We start from the raw sequence: 18,718 nt of genomic DNA, 5'->3' as shown, positions 1-18,718 counted from the left end.
TTCATAAGCAGTATCATTAAGAAGTAGTTTCCACCTTCTCCCGAAGCCGGTTCTGCAGCTAAGCTGTAGACGGGAGAGGAAGCAAAGGAGAACTTGATGAAGGGGTGAGGGGCACACTCACCCTTGCATGTACTAAGAGTAGGAGAGGGCTCAGCTTGCAGGAAACACCAGGAAGTGTTATCCAGATGCTAAGGCAGGGACCAGCAGGCCTGGGGAGGCTGGTGATCAGGTGAGGGCAGCTCTTGAAGACAAAGGAGGTGAACAAGGAGCGGCTCTAGGAAAACAGCTGTGTGCTCCAGGCCCCAATGATGCTCTGTGATCTTGGGCAAGTTCCTTAACATCTCTGAGCCTCAGTTTCCTGCTTGGATAAAAGGCGATTACTGATTCCTGCCCTTCCCTCCTTCTAGGGAATGCTGCAGGGATGAAATGGCCTCATCAGAAGTGCTTTGTAAATTTAAAATGCCCAATATTATCTTGATTTCTTTTCCTGGTTAAAACATAGTCCCTGCTCTGTGGCTGCAGGAGGCATGATGAGAGAGCGTGGGGAGGGGTGGGTGGTGGTCCAGGTGCCCTCCCCATGCCCTACTCCCTTCCTGCAGCCGCCAGCAGAGGACAAGATCAATGGCATCCTCCTGGGCTTCCGGATCCGATACCGGGAGCTGCTCTATGAAGGACTGAGGGGCTTCACGCTTCGAGGCATCAACAACCCAGGGGCCACATGGGCTGAGCTTACCTGTGAGTGACACTTGGGAGCCAGAGGAATGGGTGGGATGGGGGCGGTCACCCTCACCTTCCCGCTCTGGAGCTCTCAGCTTCCTGGAACCACTCTAACCTGAAACCTTGCCTCCCTCCTCCATGTGTGCCTCTCCCTCCTCCCATCCCATTCATTCATTTACTGAATATTTACTGAGCACCTTCTATGGGCCCCGAGTCACTGTGGGGCACACCAATGATCAAGACAGACAGGGTCCCTGCCCTCTTGGAGTTGCAGGCTGGAGGAGGAGCCAGGCGAGCTGGGAAGGAAACATTCTAGGAGGACCTAAAGCCAGGGACAGGCAAGGCTTCCCCGGCACCAGCACTGGCGCTAACACGGAAGGATGATGCCAAGTTAACCAGGACAAAGGGACGGGGACAGCCCGGTGCATGAGAAGGAGCACCCTGCCCTTGAGGGACCAGAAGCCTCACCTGGTCACACCCCTAGAGCAGTAGTCCTGGCCCCCTCTTTTTCCTGGGGGAAGCCACTGCCCTGCCTGTCCCCTGGAGCAAAGGAAGGAAAGAGGGGAGCCCAGGTGGAAATGTCAGGGAGAGCCGATGCCCAGAAGACCACGGCAAGGGAAAGACGTGTTTGGACTTTTGTGTTAGGAGCCACTTTGGTGGCATGAGGATGATGGCTTGGCCATGGTGGGAGGATGGAGAGCCAGAGGCAGGCGCCCAGATAGAGGCTGTTGCAGTCACGTGGCAAGAGAGCAGGAGGTTGGAACCGAGGCACAGACTCGGGGTGGACCGAGGCCAGTATGGGAGATGATATGTGATGGGCGCAGATGCTCCAGGACTTGAGGTTTTTTTGTTTTTTGGGTTTTTTTAGACAGAGTCTCGCTCTGTTGCCCAGGCTGGAGTGTAATGGTGCCATCTCAGCTCACTGCAACCTCCGCTTCCTGGGTTCAAGTGACTCTTGTGTCTCAGCCTCCCAAGTAGCTAGGACTCCAGGCGTGTGCCACCACGCCCAGCTAATGTTGTCGTTGTTGTTGTTGTCGTTGTTGTTGTTGTTGTTAGTAGAGACGGGGTTTCACCATGTCGGCCAGGCTGCTCTTGAACTCCTGACCTTAAGTGGCCTGCCCGCTTTGGCCTCCCAGAGTGCTGGGATTACAGGCGCGAGCCACTGTACCTGGCCTGTTTTTGATTTTTCAAAGTAAATCAGCCACTCGCATCATAATTATTTAGTATTCCGCATTGGCGGACAGTTAGGTGCATTTACGACAGTTAAGGGCTTTGGAGAAAATGCTGCAAAGTGGTGCAACCGATAAAACACGTTACAGCACAGCAGGTAGCAACGATAATTAGAACACCTTGGTACATAACGAAAGAAAAAACTGAGGTTTTCCCAGTGGCTCAAAACTGATGTTCATCTACACCTTTGGCTTGTTTGGGTCTGAAGTGCTTGCGTTCACCTAAGATTTGGACTCAGACCACTAGAGATTTTTATAAAGAGCCTCCTTCCCTAAATATCCTCTATCCACCCACCTGGGACTCCATGACTGATTCGTAGTAGAAGACGGCAGCAGGCAGGGGTACCCCAGAGGACTGGGTACTCAGGTGGGTGTGGGACACTCACCCAAACAGACTAGCAGGAGAGGGGTCAGTTTAAGAGCCTCTTCTTTTTTTTTTTTTTTTTGAAATGGAGTTTTCACTCTTGTTGCCTAAGCTGGAGTGCAATGGCACCATCTTAGCTCACTGCAACCTCCGCCTCCCAGGTTCAAGCGATTCTCCTGCCTGAGGCCTCCTGAGTAGCTGGGATTAACGGCGCACACTACCACGCCCAGCTAATTTTTTGTAATTTTAGTAGAAACGGGGTTTCACCATGTTAGCCAGGCTGGTCTCGAACTCCTGACCTCAGGTGATCCACCTGCCTCGGCCTTCCGAAGTGCTGGGATTACAGGCATGAGTCACTGCGCCCGGCTTTTGTTTTTTGTTTTTTGTTTTTTTGTTTTTTGTTTTTTGAGACAGAGTCTTGCTCTGTCACCCAGGCTAGAGTACAGTGGCATGATCTCAGCTCTGCTGCCCAGGTTCAAGCGATTCTCCTGCCCCAGCCTCCCAAGTAGCTGGACCTACAGGCGTGCACCACTATGCCCAGCTAATTTTTGTGTTTTTAGTAGAGACCGGGTTTCACTGTGTTGGCCAGGCTCGTCTCGAACTCCTGACCTCAGGTGGTCTCGAACTCCTGACCTCAGGTGATCCACCCACCTTGGCTTCCCAAAGTGCTGAGATTACAGGCATGAGCCACTGCGCCCGGCCCAGCCTCTTCATTTTCACGTTTCCTCCCTTAGTTCTCTCAAGCCTTTTGTGCCTTGTCTTCTAGTGAGTTAGCAGACAACAAAATGATGAGCATGTAGCAAAGGAATATTAATAGAAAAACTCTGAAGTAGCTGATCCAACAGCTTGCGTTTTTGGTGGACTTTTTTTCCTTCTTTTTTTTTTTGCCCATATGTGCTTGTGGTTGTGATTTTATATTGCCTGTGTATAATACAGTCATATTTCCTAGTAGTAAAATTGTTTCTGGTTCATATGAGGAAATTAACGACTCCAGTATTTCATGCTGGTTTCCAGGAGCTCTGCCCTGAAACAAGGAAGAGAATTGGGGTGAGAGGGTCCCCCAGAGATGTCCCTAGAGATGCTGGGCTACAAAGAGCTCACATCACCTTGGGCCAGTGCACACCAGGGTGGGGCAGACTGTCCAGGGAGCCTCCACCTTCCCCTGCCCCCACAACCCTGTTATCCTGGCCCGTAACTCAGCATTGGAAATTTGGAAACACTCTTCCTGTCTGTTCACGCCGTCAGCCCCGCCTGGCCGGGGTTTCTTTGTGGGGTGGGGATGTGTGAGCACTAACCTCCTCTGTCTGCTGTCTCCCTCTGCGCCCCCGCCCCGGCACCCCCACCCCATAGCCATGTACTCCATGCGGAACCTGAGCCGGCCCAGCCTCACGCAGTACGAGCTGGACAGTAAGTCTCCTTGCATGGTGGCTTCATCGCGGGCCCAGGCCTCGCAGGGGATTGGGAGTGGGGCCTCCTTGAGAGACCTGATCACAGGTTGAGGGGGTGTGCCCACCCCAGGGGGCTTAAGAAACGGGACTACCCTGAACACAAGTGATAACCCTAAACACACGGAAAAGTAGGCCGATGACAGGGAAAGTCTCCTTCAAGCCTGCCCTCTGTTGGGTGTGGGCTGGAAAAGGGAAGTCTGTAACCCTGTGCTCGGCTGGGTCGGGGGACAGTGACAGCGGGGCCGCAGCAGAAGCTGTTGGACGCTGCTGGGTAGGTGGGCAGGTGTCCACGTGGTTGCTGCCCCATCTAGTCCCATCGAAGGCACTTCTCGGCCCAGCTGGGTCTTACAGTCTGGCCCCACACCTGGAGGGAGGTGACAGCAGTTTTAGTCACCTGCGTCCGTCGTCCTCCCGTGCACCAGACATGTTCCTGCTGCTTGCATGCCCCAACCCTTGATCTTTCTCTAAAGCATCAGCCGTGGTTCTTCCTGAAACCCAGGGCCTTAGGCAAGAGGGTTTCGTGCTCAGGAGAAAATAGCACTAGTTTAAGGCTAAATTCTCTTCCTCCTTCCTCCGTCAACCAATGACCAACCCAGGCTGCATAGACAGCTAGGCAAGGGTGACACCCCTCTCACAACCCTGTTAAAGGGTAGACCTACCCAGGGGAAGGAAGCAGGGGCAGGGAACCCAGAGAGAAGAGTGGAGAGGGTGGGAGAAACTTTCAGCTACGGGGGACAGTGACTGCGCCCGTTTCTTGCAGCTGCGTCCCATTCCCAAGTTCTGCCAGGCATTCTCAGCCAAGCACCTCAAACTTGGCAGAAACATCAGGTTTCTTAGTCCAGAATTCACATCCAATGCGCCCCTCCCCCCTGGAGCTGAGCCCCGCTGTGTAAAGAGTTGGTGGATGGGGACTCTGGGCATCTGTCACGGTGGGGAAAGAGGACAGGCTGGGGGTAGGGGGTGACCCTATGTCCAGGCATGCCCAGGACAGCTTTGGTTTACACTGGTTGTCCCGGTGTAAATATTCATAGTGGTTTCAGTCTCAAAAGTGTCCAGTTGAACAATAAAATGTACGGCCACCCTAGGCCAAGAGGCCAACCAGCATTGCCCTATGTCCAGATTGGCACAGAGCGTCCCCTGGGGGCCCCGCCTCTCACCTCCTCCTTCATGCACCTTCACAGAGGGGGCTAGAATGGCGGGGGTGCCTCATTCCTCCCCCTGCAGCCTCCACCCTCCCTGGGGACACCTTCCCAGCAATGACGGTGACCTCAGTGTGCTTCCCCTCCCCCACTCTCCCCCACAGACCTGAACAAGCACAGGCGGTACGAGATACGGATGAGCGTGTACAACGCTGTGGGTGAGGGGCCCTCCAGCCCCCCGCAGGAGGTCTTTGTTGGGGAGGCAGGTGAGCAGCGCCCGCCCTGTCCGGCCCCAGCATGCCTTTCCCAGCCCCACCCAGTTCAGCTGGAAGAAACGGGATCTGGGCTCCCCATCCCGCCCAGCCCACCTCCCCTCCCAGGTTTACTCGCATGCTCACTGCCTACCCTGCACGCCCTCCAGTGCCCACAGCAGCACCTCGTAACGTGGTCGTCCACGGCGCCACGGCCACACAGCTGGACGTGACTTGGGAGCCACCTCCGCTGGACAGCCAGAATGGAGACATCCAGGGGTACAAGGTAGGGTGCCCTCGGGCAGAGCAAAGGGGTGCACGGATGAGAAGCCAGGTCGGAGGCTGGGGAGTGAGTGATATGTGGGAGGCAGGCAGGTCCCCAGGCCCTCCATTCATCCAGCCAGCTCCTCGGCCCTTCAGGCTCTGTGGTACACCTGCCACCTTGGCTGTTTGGACCCAGTTCGCAGAAATATTTGTACAGCTGAAGCTGAACCACATCCATCCCCTCCAGCTTCCTGAGGGCAGGCTGAGCTTAGGTGCAAGAAACTCTAGCCATCCCTAGGCTCGTACCATCTCTGAGCAGCACACACATCCCTCCCCACCAGCCCCCAACCCCATACATAACTTAAGACCCTCCAAGGGGCTTTTGGCCCCATAATTACAATATTGATATTAATCAGATAGCCAGTTAGCAAAGCATCACTGCCTAGTATTTGGAAATCTCTGTTTAAAAATCATTTCTAGGCTGGGCGCGGTGGCTCACACCTTTAATCCCAGCGCTTTGGGAGGCCGAGGCGGGCAGATCACCTGAGGTCAGGAGTTCGAGACCAGCCTGGCCAACATGGTGAAACCCCATCTCTACTAAAAATACAAAAATTAGCCGGGCATGGTGGCAGGCACCGGTAATCCCAGCTATTCGAGAGGCTGAGGCAGGAGAATCGCTTGAACCCAGGAGGCAGAGGTTGCAGTGAGCCGAGATTGTACCACTGCACTCCAGCCTGAGCAATAGAGTGAGACTCTGTCTCAAAAAAAAAAAAATTAAAATTAAAAATCATTTCTAGGGCTGTGTGTGGTGGCTCACACCTGTAATTCCCGCACTTTAGGAGGCCAAGGTGGGCGGATCACTTGAGCTCAGGAGTTACAGAACAGCCTGGGCAACATAGTGAGAACCTGACTCTACAAAAAAAAATACAGAAATTAGCCAGGTGTGGTGGCATGCGCCTATAGTCCCAGCTACTTGGGAGGCTGAGGTGGGAGGATTGCTTGAGCCAGGGGGGCAGAGTTTGCAGTAGGCCATGTGGAGCCATTGCACTCCAGCCAGGTAACAGAGCAAGACACTGTCTCAAAAAAGAAAAAAATCATTTCTAGATTTAGGATGATGTCCTGTGCTATAAGGGGATTCAATTTCTCCCTAATATTCACAAAGCCCTTTGGAACTCTTGAATCTTCATGAAAGGCCCACGAAGCTGGGAGGATATGGGTTTTTATGCCCAAATGAGGAAACTGAGTTCCAATTTAGTTGACCTGGTAAGATCACAAAAACAGCAGGCAGGCCGGGTGCGGTGGCTCACACCTGTAATCCCAACACTTTGGGAGGCCAAGGCGGGCAGATCACCTGAGGTCGGGAGTTCGAGACCAGCCTGACCAACATGGTGAAACCCCATCTCTACTAAAAATACAAAATTAGCCGGGTGTGGTGGCGCATGCCTGTAATCCCAGCTACTCGGGAGGCTGAGGCAGGAGAATCACTTGAACTTGGGAGAGGGAGGTTGCAGTGAGCCGAGATTGCACCATTGCACTCCAGCCAAGAGGTCTCAAAAAAAAAAAAAAAGCAGGCAGCAGAGTCAGATTCCAAGTCTGGCAGCTCTCACCCCCCGAGGGGTGAAAAGTAAGCACTAACCAACCACATGAGCACTAGGGGAAGTAGATTTAAAAAGGAACATGGGCCAGGTGTGGTGGCCTACACATGTAATCCCAGCACTTTGGGAGGCCGAGGCAGATGGATCACCTGAGGTCAGGAGATCGAGACCAGCCTGACCAACATGGTGAAACCCCATCTCTACTAAAAATACAAAAATTATCCAGGCGTGGTGGCGGGTGCCTGTAATCCCAGCTATTTGGGAGGCTGAGGCAGGAGAATCGTTTGAACCCAGGAGACAGAGGTTGCAGTGAGCCAAGACCGTGTCACTGCACTCCAGCCTGGACAACAGAGCAAGACTCTGTCTCCAAAAAAAAAAAAAGAAAAAAAAAAAAGGAATGTGTCTGTCTGGTTGGAAGAGCTGGAACACATAACCCTTAGCTGTGTCTGCCTCCCGCACCAGTGTCCAGTTGACTCTCATTCTTGGCGGCTGGTTGTTACTCCAGAGAAGAGCCCCAGTGCCATGGCTTAAGTGGGGAGTAGGAGAGACGCAAGGCACCTCATCCCACAGGTGGGGAGTAGGAGAGACACAAGGCACCTCATCCCACAGGTGGGAGGAGTGTCAGCAAAGGGGAAGAGCTTACCCAAGTCACACAGCTCATTAATACAGGTAGTCCCGATTTAGGATGGAATCCAGCATAAGAGTCTCATTCCATCTGGGGTGAAGGAGGAGGAAGGAAGGAGGAAAGGCATGTTGCCAAGGAAGCCCTAAAGATGGATGACACCCCTCAAGGCATTGCCCAGGAGCACCAGCTGGGAAAACTAAATATTGCCCCCCTAGCATATGCCTCCCATGGGAAAAGAAAGGGGCCAGGGCAGCGCCAGCAGCAGTGTGGCAGCCACCAGACTGTCGAGGCTTGTAAGTGGTGAGTTAATAGACAGACCCAGGAAAATGTGCAGGTGCACAACACCATACAGAATACAGCAGAGGCCTACATGCTCCAGAAAACATGACCCGTACCTGAGCGGCAACTGTGGATGTGAACGGAGAAAGTGCTACCTCCTGGACCTGTGATAACCAAGGTACTGACATCAACACGCACGAACATCAGTGACGCATTAACTTCATCAACCCATGAGCACACCGAAGCTGATACTGCATTCCAGTCAGACTGCACCCAACTGGTGCGTGGCAGGCACATTCATGCACGTTCTGAGAGCTCCAGTCTTTCAGTTGGTCAATGACACGTGTTTATTGAGCAGTTATTGTGTGCCCAGCATTGTGAGCTTAGATGTTAGGGAGGGAAGGCCAACACGGGGCAAAATAAATAATACCGCCAGGTGGTGGTAAATGAAGCAGGTTAGGGGAGAGCCAGGTCCATGAGGAGGTTTGAATTTTTTTTTTTTTTTTTGACACGGAGTCTTGCTCTGCCGCCAGGCTGAAGTGCAGTGGTGCAATCTCAGCTCACTGCAACCCCCACCTCCCAGGTTCAAGCGATTCTCCTTCCTCCGCCTCCCAAGTAGCTGGGATTACAGGTGCCTGCCACCATGCCCAGCTAATTTTTGTGTTTTTAGTAGAGACGGGGTTTCACCATGTTGGCCAGGATGGTCTCAATCTCTTGACTTCGTGATCCACCCACCTCGGCCTCCCAAAGTGCTGGGATTACAGGAGTGAGCCAGCGCATCCAGCCTGAAATTTTATTTTATTTTAGTTTAGTTTATTTTATTTCTTTCTTTCTTTTTTTTCCTGAGATGGAGTCTTGTTCTGTCACCCAGGCTGAAGTGCAGTGGTGCGATCTTGGCTCACTGCAACCTCTGCCTCCCAGGTTCAAGTGATTCTCCCACCTCAGCCTCCTGAGTAGCTGGGATTACAGGTGCCTGCCACCATGCCCAGCTAATTTTTGTATTTTTAGTAGAGACAGGGTTTCACCATGTTGGCCAAGCTTGTCTCGAGCTCCTGACCCCAGGTGATCCGCCCTCGGTCTCCCAAATTGCTGAGATTACAGGCGTGAGCCACTGTGCCCAGCCAGGGTTTGAAATTTTAAATGGGTTGTTAAGGGCTGGGCTCAGTGGCTCACAACTGTAATCCTGGCGCTTTGAAAGGCCGAGGTGGGTGGATTGCTTGACTCCAGGAGTCCAAGACCAGCCTGGGCAACATGGTAAAAGCCTGTCTCTACAAAAAGAAAACAACAACAAAATTAGCCGGGTGTGGTGGCACATGCCTGTAGTCCCAGCCAACGGGGTGGGAGGTGGGAGGAGTGCCTGAGCCCGGCCGAGTGAGGGTGCAGTGAGCCATTGTTGCACCACTGCACTCCAGCCTGGGCAACAGATCAAGACTGTCTCAAAAAAAAAAAAAAAAAAAAAAAAAAAAAAAGGTTGTTAGGAAAGGACTTAATGAGAAGGTGATATTTGAGCAAAAACCTGAAGGAGAACAGGGCACAAATCACATGGATCCAGAAAGAGAGGAAAAAAGAGCAAAGGTCTCAGGGTAGACAGGTACTTGGGGTATACGGAGAGCCTTGTGTGTCCCCAGAGTGAGTTCCAGGGAGCGCAATGGGAGATGGGAAAGCCGGGGCTGGAGCACCTGGGGTCCTTCGGGGCTTTGGCTGTCACTCTTGAGTGAAGTCCTCTGAGTGGAGGACTGGGACCTTCAGAGGGTCCCGCTGGCTGCTGTGCTGAGCAGAGTCTGAAATGGGGAAAGCCCAGAAGCTATGGGGAGGCATCTGAACTATCCGGGTGGGCCATGAAGGGGGCTCAGATCAGGTGAGAGCAGAGTGAGAAGTGGCCACTCTCAGTTAGTCCCAACAGCAGAGCTGGTAGAATTTGCTAACAAATCAGGCTGGGCACAGTGGCTCACACCTGTAATCCCAGCACTTTGGGAGCCCAAGGCGGGCAGATCACTTGAGGTCAGGAGTTCGAGACCAGCCTGGCCAACATGACGAAACCGCATCTCTACTAAAAATACAAAAATTAGCTGGGTATGGTAGCGCATGCTTGTAATTCCAGCTACTGGGGAGGCTGAGGCAAAAGAATCCCTTGAACCCAGAAGGCAGAGGTTGCAGTGCACCAAGATCACGCCACTGTACTCCAGCCTGGGCAACAGAGCGAGACCCCATCTCAAAAAAAAAAAAAATTACCGACAAATCGAACATGGAATGGGAGAAAAGGGAGGCAACAAGGACAGCCCCAGGGTCCACAGGATGATGGAGCAGGAAAAGACAAAGCTGGTGAAGGAGGAGGCTAGGGAAATCTGGAGTCTGGTTCCAGATGTGTTTGGTTTGAGACGTCTGTTGGACATTCGAGGGGAGACAGAACAGAGTCAGAGATGCATGTCTGGAGTTCAAGAGAGAAGGATCAAACCAGAGATGTGAATTATAGAGTCCTCGGCATATAGATGGTACTGAAAGCTAGAGATTAGACAAGGAAAGATAAAGAACAAAAGAAGTCTACAAATTGAGCCCTGAAACCAAAAACTGAGTGATGTCTCAGAGCTCATGGGAAGAACATGCTTCCAGAAGGAGGGAGAACCTCTGGAATGGGAGAAATATTTGCAAACCATACATATGACCAGGGGTTAGTAGCCAAAATATGTAAGGAACTCATACAACAAAAGTGAAAGAAAATGGGGCAAAGGACCCAAATGGACATTTCTCAAAAGAAGATACATAGGCTGGGCACGGTGGCTCATGCCTGTAATCCCAGCACTTTGGGAAGCCAAGGTAGGCAGATCACCTGAGGTCAGTAGTTCGAGACCAGCCTGGCCAACATGGTGAAACCCCGTCTCTACTAAAAATACAAAAATTAGCTGGCCATGGCGGCAGGCACCTGGCTGAGGCAGGAGAATCGCTTGAACCCAGGAGGTGGAGGTTGCAGTGAACCCATATCATGCCACTGCAGTCTAGCCTGGGTGACAGAGCAAGACTCCAACTCAAAAAAAAAGAAAAAAGAAGATATATAAATGGTCAACAGGTATCTAAGAAGGTGTTCAACATCGCTCAGCATCAGGGAAATGCAAATCAAAACCACAGTGAGATATCCCATCACACCTGCAAGGATGGCTGTTATCAAAAAGTCTAGAGATAAGTGGTGGTAAGCGTATGGGGAAAAGGGAACCTTTGCACGCTGTTGGTGGGAACGTATATCAGTACAGCCATTATGGATAACGGTATGGAAGTTCCGCAGAAAATTAAAAATAGAACTCCAATGATCCAGCAATCCCACTACTGGGTATTTATCCAAAGGAATTGAAATGAGGCTCTTGAAGAGCTATCTGCAGGCCCATGTTAATTTCAGCATCATTCACAGTAGCCAAGATGTGGAAATAGCCTGAGTGTCTGTGAATGGATGAATGAATGAAGAAAATGTGGTTTATACACAGTGGAATACCATCCAGCCTTGAAGGAAATCCTGCTGTTTGCAACAACACGGATGAACCTGCAGGATATTATGCCAAATGAAATGTACCAAGCACAGAAAGACAAATACTGCATGACCTCGCGTATATGTGGAATCTAAAATAATCAAACTCATAGGAACAGAGAGTAGAACAGCGGTTGCCAGAGGCTGAGGGAGTGAGGGAAATAGGGAGAAGGTCCCAGGATACAGCGTTTCGGTGAAGCAGGCTGAATACGATCTAGATCTAATGTACAACATGGTGATGATAGTTAATGATACCGTATTGTACACTTGAAATTTGCTCAGAAGGTTCTCACCACAAAAAGATGATGAACATGTTAATTAGCTTGATTGTGGTAATCATTTCATAATGCATGTGTATATCAGAACACCATGTTGTATACCTTAAACACATACAGTTTTTTGGGGTTTTTTTGTTTTTTGATTTTTTTGTTTGTTTGTTTTTTTCGAGACAGAGTCTCACTCTGTCACCCAGGCTGGAGTGCAGTGGTGTGATCTCCACTCACTGCAACCTCTGCCTCCTAGGTTCAAGGGATTGTCCTGTCTCAGCCTCCCGAGTAGCTGGGATTACAGGCACCCACCACCATGCCCGGCTATATATAGATCTTAGATTGTCAATTATACCTCAATAAAGCTGAAAAAAGAAATGAAAGGGCAGAGAATTGGGCATAGTAAATGGCAGGTTCGTGATTATAATGGTGCACTCCCATGCTTGCCCCTGTCCACATAAGGCATTTATTCATCCAGCAGATATTGATTGAGGACCATGGATGTGCCAGCCATGATTCTAGGTGTTTGGGTCCCAAGGGGGCCACATGGACCGAGATGCCTGCCCGCTGGAGCCTGCATTCTGGCAGACTCCTGGTTACCCATCAATGTGCCCCATGCAGCTCAGCAGTGTGCCCCATGGGAACCAGGATCTGGGCTCAGTCCCTTTATGTCCTTTGCACGCGTGTCAGTCCCTCTCACTGTGAATCATCAGCTAACAAAGGTCCGCAGAATGCAGCGCTCACAAACAAGATGCACCTGCCGGAGTGCCTGGTTTGTGAAGACAGCTGTCCCTGGGTTCTAGGCCCCGACCCACTCCTCACCCAAGAGCATGACTGCAGCCATTGGCCCTTCCTCTCCTCCACCTCCCCAGTGGATAGCTCCCACGGGCAGGGCAGAAAAGCATTCTGAGATATGTTTCCTCTTTTTATGCCTTTTCCTGACCTCACTTTTTTTTTTTTTTAACGGACTCTCGCTCCGTTGCCCAGGCTGGAGTGCAGTGGTGCTATCTCAGCTCACTGCAGCCTCCACCTCTCGGGTTCAAGTGATTCTCCTGCCTCAGCCTCCTGAGTAGCTGGGATTACAGGCATCCGCCACCATGCCCGGCTAATTTTTGTATTTTTAGTAGAGATAGAGTTTCGCCATGTTGGCCAGGCTGGTCTCAAACTCCTGACCTCAGGTGATCCACCTGCCTCAGCCTTCCAAAGTGCTGGGATTACAGGTGTGAGCCACCGCACCTGGCCTGACCTCACATTTTCTTCCAGTTGTCACCCATTTCTTTGGCCCCTTTACAGCAGAATTCCTCAAAAGAATCTTCTGTACTCACTCCCTCCGATTCCTCTGCTCTCTTTCTCCCTTGAACTCGCTCCAAATAGGTTCTCATCCCCGCCACCCCACCGAAGCTCTTCCTGCCAAAGTTGTTAATAATTCCCATGTTGCTCATATCGAGTCAAACCACAGGCTTATCCTGCCTGACTCAGCAGCTGTGTTTGACACATGGATCTCTCCTTCCTCTCAAAATGCTTGCTTTCCTCAGCTTCCCTCGCTAGCTCTTCCTCCCCACCAACCACTGAATGCTGGAGGCCCCCAGGGATCAATCCACAGCCCTCTTCTCTACCTAAGAGAATCCATTCATTCTCCCAGTGTGCACTCACGGAAGACCACCTGTGTGCTAATAATGGCAAACTTTTAGCATCAGCCATGACCTTTCCAAATCCAACAGGAACTTTGTTAACTGTTGTACCCCCATTAGTATGAATGCATGAGTGAATGAATGATTTCATACATGACTGCCTCTGCTTTCATTCATCTATCCATATGAGAAGAATCTGCTTTTCGTTATTTTTATGTTATTTTAGAGATGGAGTCTTGTTCTGTTGCCCAGGCTGGAGTGCAGTGGTGTGATCTCAGCTCACTGCAACCTTCACCTCCCGGGTTCCAGCCATCCTCCTGCCTCAGCCTCCCAAGTAGCTGGAACTGCAGGTGCACACCACCACTCCTGGCTAATTTTTGTGTTTTTAGTAGAGACAGGGGTCTTGCCATGTTGCCCAGGCTGGTCTTGAACTCATGGGCACAGGCGATTCCCCTCTCTCAGCTTCCCAAGTGCTAGGATTACAGGTGTGAGCCGCTGCACCCGGCCCTCTCCCCCTTTCTAAAAAAGAAATCACTACAAAAGAAATCCCCATCTCTACGAAAGAAATAGCCAGGTGTGGTAGCACTCATGTAGTCAGAGCTACCTGGGGGGCTGAGGCGGGAGGATTGCTTGAACCTGGAGGTCAAGGTTACAGTGAGCCAAGATCATGCCACTGCACCCCAGTCTGCGTGACAAAATGAGACCCTGTCTTGAAATAAAATAAAATAAAATAAAATGGGAGAGAGGGCCGGGCACAGTGGCTCACACCTGTAATCTCAGCACTTTGGGAAGCCAAGGTGGTTGGATCGCTTGAGCCCAGGAGTTCAAGACCAGCCTGGGAAACATGGCAAGACCCCGTCTCTACAAAAAATTAAAAACTTAGCTGGGTGTGGTGGTGCACACCTGTAGTCCTGGCCACTCAGGAGGCTGAGGTGGGAGGATGGCTTGAGCCCAGGTGGTTGAGGCTGCAGTGAGCTGTGATCGTGCCACTGCACTCCAGCCTGGGCAACAGAGTGAGGCCTGTCTCAAATAAAAAAATAATAATAAAGGGGGAGAGGGATTGGAGAAAAGCAAGGATTTCATGGTAACAAGATGTCCTAACTGCCACCCATACATGCCAGTGGGGACACTTTTATTAGCTCTTTCTCACTTTATGGGCTTCCTCCAGGGAAATGAGAAATTGAAAAGCCGGTGACATGCAGAAACCTCATTGGCCAGCAGGGGGCGCCAAATGACCTCCAATTTTGCACGTGGCTGGGCCCAGCTGGCCGCTATCTGGATGGCCTCAGTCCTGGAACTAGCAGAAGTGTTAACCTGTGCTACAGAGGAAATGATTGAAAACAATGGCTGGGCTTGGTGGTTCGCGCCTGTAACCCCAGCACTTTGGGAGGCCGAGGCGGGCGGATCACAAGGTCAGGAGATCTAGACCATCCTGGCTAACACGGTGAAATCCCGTCTCTACTAAAAATCCAAAAATTAGCCGGGCGTGGTGGCGGGTGCCTGTGTCCCAGCTACTCGGGAGGCTGAGGCAGGAGAATGGCGTGAACCCGTGAGGCGGAGCAAGATCGCACCACAGCACTCCAGCCTGTGTGACAGTGCGAGACTCCATCTCAAAAAACAGAAAGGAAGAGAAAACACCAGGGAGCATCTGTTGTGTTCCTGGCCTAAAGCCTTCTGCAGCCACGGGGTTCCTTAGGAAACTGGCCAAGTACCTGGGTGAAACCCTTAGAACCTGCACCCCTCACACGGACCCCAGGAAGTACGTGTCCTTAACCTCACTGAATGTACGACAAAACTGCAGCTCTGGGAAGTCAGCTGGCCAGGTCCCGCTGCTGTATGCGGTGCAGCTGGGATTCAGCCTCCCGCTGCCCGCCGTCTTGGCCGAGGCCTTCCTCTGCAGCGGGCCTTGTTCCTGTTAACCAGCAGCTGCTGGTGCAGCGGGCCCGGGGTGGCCCTGAGACTCTGCATCCCTCACCAGCTCCCAGGTGACATGAGGCCACCAGCACTTGCACCACACTCTGTCTGGATAGACTCCACACTGCCTTATCTCCCCAGCTCAGCCTCCCGTAGGACGGATTTGCTTTATTCCTCCAGGAACTGTACTAAGTGCTGATGTGCCAGCGCTATGGTAAATCCTCCAGGCATGGCGGGAAACACAGACACTTGGGGGCCATGCCCTGGAGTTTACTGTCTGGCAGAGACCAGGGTCTTGGCTGTGAAAAGGAAGGTTCCAGAAAGGTTTCTAAAACAGTTCTTAAATTCTTTTTTTTTTTTTTTGAGATGGAGTCTTGCTCTGTCACCCAGGCTGGAGTACAGTGGCGTGATCTCAGCTCACTGCAACCTCCACCTCCCAGGTTCAAGTGATTTTCCTGCCTCAGCCTCCAGAGTAGCTGGGACTACAGGCACTTGCCACCATGCCCGGCTGATTTTTTTGTATTTCCAGTAGAAACGGGGATTCACCATGTTGGCCAGGCTAGTCTTGAACTCCTGGCCTCAAGTGATCCACCCACCTCTGCCTCCCAAAGTGCTGGGATTACAGGTGTGAGCCACCGCACCCGGCCTCTTAAAGACTTCTCCGCTGTTTCCCAGGTGACTCACAGCAATGAAGGTGTCTCTGAGACTACAGGTCAGCAGGGACAGGAGGGACTCTCATTGCCCCTGTCCCCCTCACTCCCACATCCTTCTGTTCCCACAGATTTATTTCTGGGAAGCCCAGCGGGGGAACCTCACAGAGCGAGTGAAGACGCTTTTCCTGGCTGAGAACAGCGTGAAGCTCAAGAACTTGACTGGCTACACGGCCTACATGGTCAGCGTGGCCGCCTTCAACGCCGCTGGGGATGGGCCTCGGAGCACCCCCACCCAAGGCCAGACCCAGCAAGCAGGTGGGAGAGGGGGCCCTGAGGAGGGGAGGGGTAGGTCGGCCACGGGGGGTTGCAAGAGGACCTACCTGGCATCCGGGCTCTTGGCAGGCATGGGGGCAGCTGCCTTATCCGCCTGAGGATCTGGTCGTGGTACCCAGGTCCCCAGAGACACCCTCCCAAGTGGGAGAGCCCATTCTCAGAAAAGAGAAGCTGTCCCCATAAAGCCTTGAGAAACCCCCACACCTCATCCCTGTCCTCCCCACCGTTTGCCCCGCCTTGCAGACGGACAGTCAGCACCCCCAGCCCCTCCCAGCCAGCCTACTTCTGCTCCCTGCCTTCTTCCCACCTGCCTTCCCTCTGTCTCTCTGGCTTTGTTCATTCCACAAATACTGAGTGTCTTATGAGCCCGTGCCATGCTAGATGCTAGGGACACAACAGTGAGACCAGCAAGGTCCCCACCCTAGTGCGGGGGACAGATCATAAGCAAGTTGATGAAGTAAATGCAGACGGGGGTCAGCACAGGTGACCTAAGAGTGAGGCAGGAGTGGGTGGATGGCTCTGGATAGGCTCACCCACAAAGCCCTCCCTGAGGAGGTGAGATTTGAATGAGAAGAGGCCGGCAGGGGCCAGGCATGGTGGCTCACGCCTGTAATCCCAGCACTTTGGGAAGCCAAGGCAGGTGGATCACCTGAGGTCAGGAGTTTAAGACCAGCCTGGCCAACATGGTGACACCCTGTCTCTACTAAAAATATAAAAAATTATCCAGGCATGGTGGTACGTGCCTGTAATCCCAGCTACTTGGGAGGCTGAGGCAGGAGAATCACTTGAACCCGGGAGGTGGAGGTTGCAGTGAGCCGAGATTGTGCTACTGCTGCACTCTAGCCTGGGTGACAGAGTAAGACTCTGTCCCAAAAAAAAAAAAGACAAGAGGCCAGCCATGAGATGCTCTCAGGAGGTGGCAGAGGGTGCTGGGGGCTCCAGGCAGAGGGAACCGCAGGTGCTAAGGCCTAGGGGCTGGAGAGGAACCCGGGAACGCAGAGAAAGCCAGGTGGCTTGCAGGAAAATGGGGCGAGAGCTCAGGCTGGGGGATTGGGATTGGGATTAATTATAAGTACAATGGACCACACATGGTATCTCACACCTGTAATCCCAGCACTTTGGGAGGCCGAGGTGGGTGGATCATTTGAGGTCAGGAGTTCAAGACCAGCCTGGCCAACATGATGAAACCCTATCTGTACTTAAAAAACTACAAAAATTAGCTGGGCATGGTGGTGCACCCTTCTCCAATCCCAGCTACTCAGGAGGCTGAGGCAGGAGAATCGCTTGAACCTGGGAGGTGGAGGTTGCAGTGAGCTGAGATTGTACCACTGCACTCCAGCCTGGGTGACAGAGCAATAATCTGTCTTAAAAAATAAAAAAATTTAAAAAGTATGCTGGGAAGCCATGGGAGGGCTTGAGCAGTTGAGCAACAGGGTCTGGTTTACATTTAGAGAAAAGTGCTCCGGCTGCTGTGCAGAAGATGGCCTGGTGGAGGGGAGAGAGTAGAGGCAGGGAGGGGAGATCGGGAGGCTGAAGGGTGGCGGGTGCAGAGGAGAGGGCGCTGGTGAGAATCCTGCTGCCTGTGTGCAGAGCGAGCCTGGTAGTCAGGCACTGTCACACTTAACCCTCCCAGAAGCCCCGTGGACAGGCAGGGCAGGCAGCACCCTCATCTCACGATGAGCCGGGGTCACCCAGGAAGTTATACTACTTGTCCAGGGTTGCCCAGCTGGTCACTGGGGCAGCAGAGGCTGGAACCCAGGATTTCTGAGAGAACCAAGTGTTCTGTCCTCGTGGACTGGAATACTGGCCTTTTGCCCCGGCCTCCCTTGAGCATCTTGTTCAACCTGCTGCTTCCTATGCTGTCAGTGACATGTGGCTTTTAAAGAGCTGCAGAGGGCACACCTGTGGCATCAGTTCCTCATTATGACCCTCTCTGGGGACAAGCCCTGGCTCCAGGGAACCCTTTCCCTCCACTACCCCCAGGGTCTGACGGTGGCCAGAATGAGCGTGAGCTGCTGAATATACAAGTCTGTCCGTCCGCCTCCTGTCCCGGCCACTCTTTTGTCAGTGCCATCTGCCAGATGCGAACCCCAGGGAACCCGAGGCTTCCGTCACTGCGGCAGCAGGACAACATGTTCTGTCCCACGTCCCTGTAGCACAGGGGAGGCAGGAAGGGCCCCCTGAGCTCACCTCCCTCCTTCAAAGACACTCGCTGACTCTGCCTCCTGGGGCTGGAGCCGGAAGCAGGTCCGGATTAGCTCCAGCGTGGTGGGGAGGCAGCGCCGGACAATAATAGCCTGGTCATCCTCCCTGGGCCAGCTGGGGATGCCGCAGATTGGGACGCTTCCTGCCCTTCCTCTGTCCTCCCCATCAGGGGAGCCCCCACCCCCATGATTTTGGGGTTGCCACAGGGTTCTTGGTCCGAGAAAACATTTCTCCCAGAGGGTCTGACTGTCCTTGGCGTGGCTCCCCCTGACTGCGTGGGGCCTCTGTGAC

General features: G+C 52.6%; 1 protein-coding gene across 4 annotated transcripts in view, besides 3 other annotated features; it reads left to right on the top strand.

Moving 5' to 3' along the window:
• Positions 1–18,718, top strand: part of SDK2 (sidekick cell adhesion molecule 2) — a 310,062-nt gene that overhangs the window by 259,835 nt on the left and 31,509 nt on the right. For 2 of the 4 annotated variants that reach the window (XM_011524915.3, NM_001144952.2), the window contains exons 33-37: positions 600–735; positions 3,661–3,717; positions 5,062–5,163; positions 5,319–5,434; positions 16,018–16,204. In XM_011524915.3, the coding sequence (XP_011523217.1) occupies positions 600–735; positions 3,661–3,717; positions 5,062–5,163; positions 5,319–5,434; positions 16,018–16,204 (598 nt within the window). The remainder of the gene's footprint in view (positions 1–599; positions 736–3,660; positions 3,718–5,061; positions 5,164–5,318; positions 5,435–16,017; positions 16,205–18,718) is intronic. The other 2 variants (XM_047436313.1, XM_011524914.3) reach the window with 1 other exon arrangement.
• Positions 3,520–4,019: an enhancer, noted in NCBI's record as "H3K4me1 hESC enhancer chr17:71376731-71377230 (GRCh37/hg19 assembly coordinates)". NCBI's record gives its function as "activates a minimal SCP1, AML or CMV promoter by ChIP-STARR-seq in naive H9 embryonic stem cells {active_cell/tissue: H9 hESC(naive)}" and the evidence as "EXISTENCE:reporter gene assay evidence [ECO:0000049][PMID:30033119]".
• Positions 4,020–4,521: an enhancer, noted in NCBI's record as "H3K4me1 hESC enhancer chr17:71376229-71376730 (GRCh37/hg19 assembly coordinates)". NCBI's record gives its function as "activates a minimal SCP1, AML or CMV promoter by ChIP-STARR-seq in naive H9 embryonic stem cells {active_cell/tissue: H9 hESC(naive)}" and the evidence as "EXISTENCE:reporter gene assay evidence [ECO:0000049][PMID:30033119]".
• Positions 5,070–5,571: an enhancer, noted in NCBI's record as "H3K4me1 hESC enhancer chr17:71375179-71375680 (GRCh37/hg19 assembly coordinates)". NCBI's record gives its function as "activates a minimal SCP1, AML or CMV promoter by ChIP-STARR-seq in naive H9 embryonic stem cells {active_cell/tissue: H9 hESC(naive)}" and the evidence as "EXISTENCE:reporter gene assay evidence [ECO:0000049][PMID:30033119]".

This window comes from Homo sapiens, chromosome 17, assembly GCF_000001405.40.
Source record: "Homo sapiens chromosome 17, GRCh38.p14 Primary Assembly".
NCBI classification, from domain to species: domain Eukaryota; kingdom Metazoa; phylum Chordata; class Mammalia; order Primates; family Hominidae; genus Homo; species Homo sapiens.
Note: the sequence above shows the minus strand (reverse complement) of the source record. Positions and strands in the feature narration are given on the sequence as shown.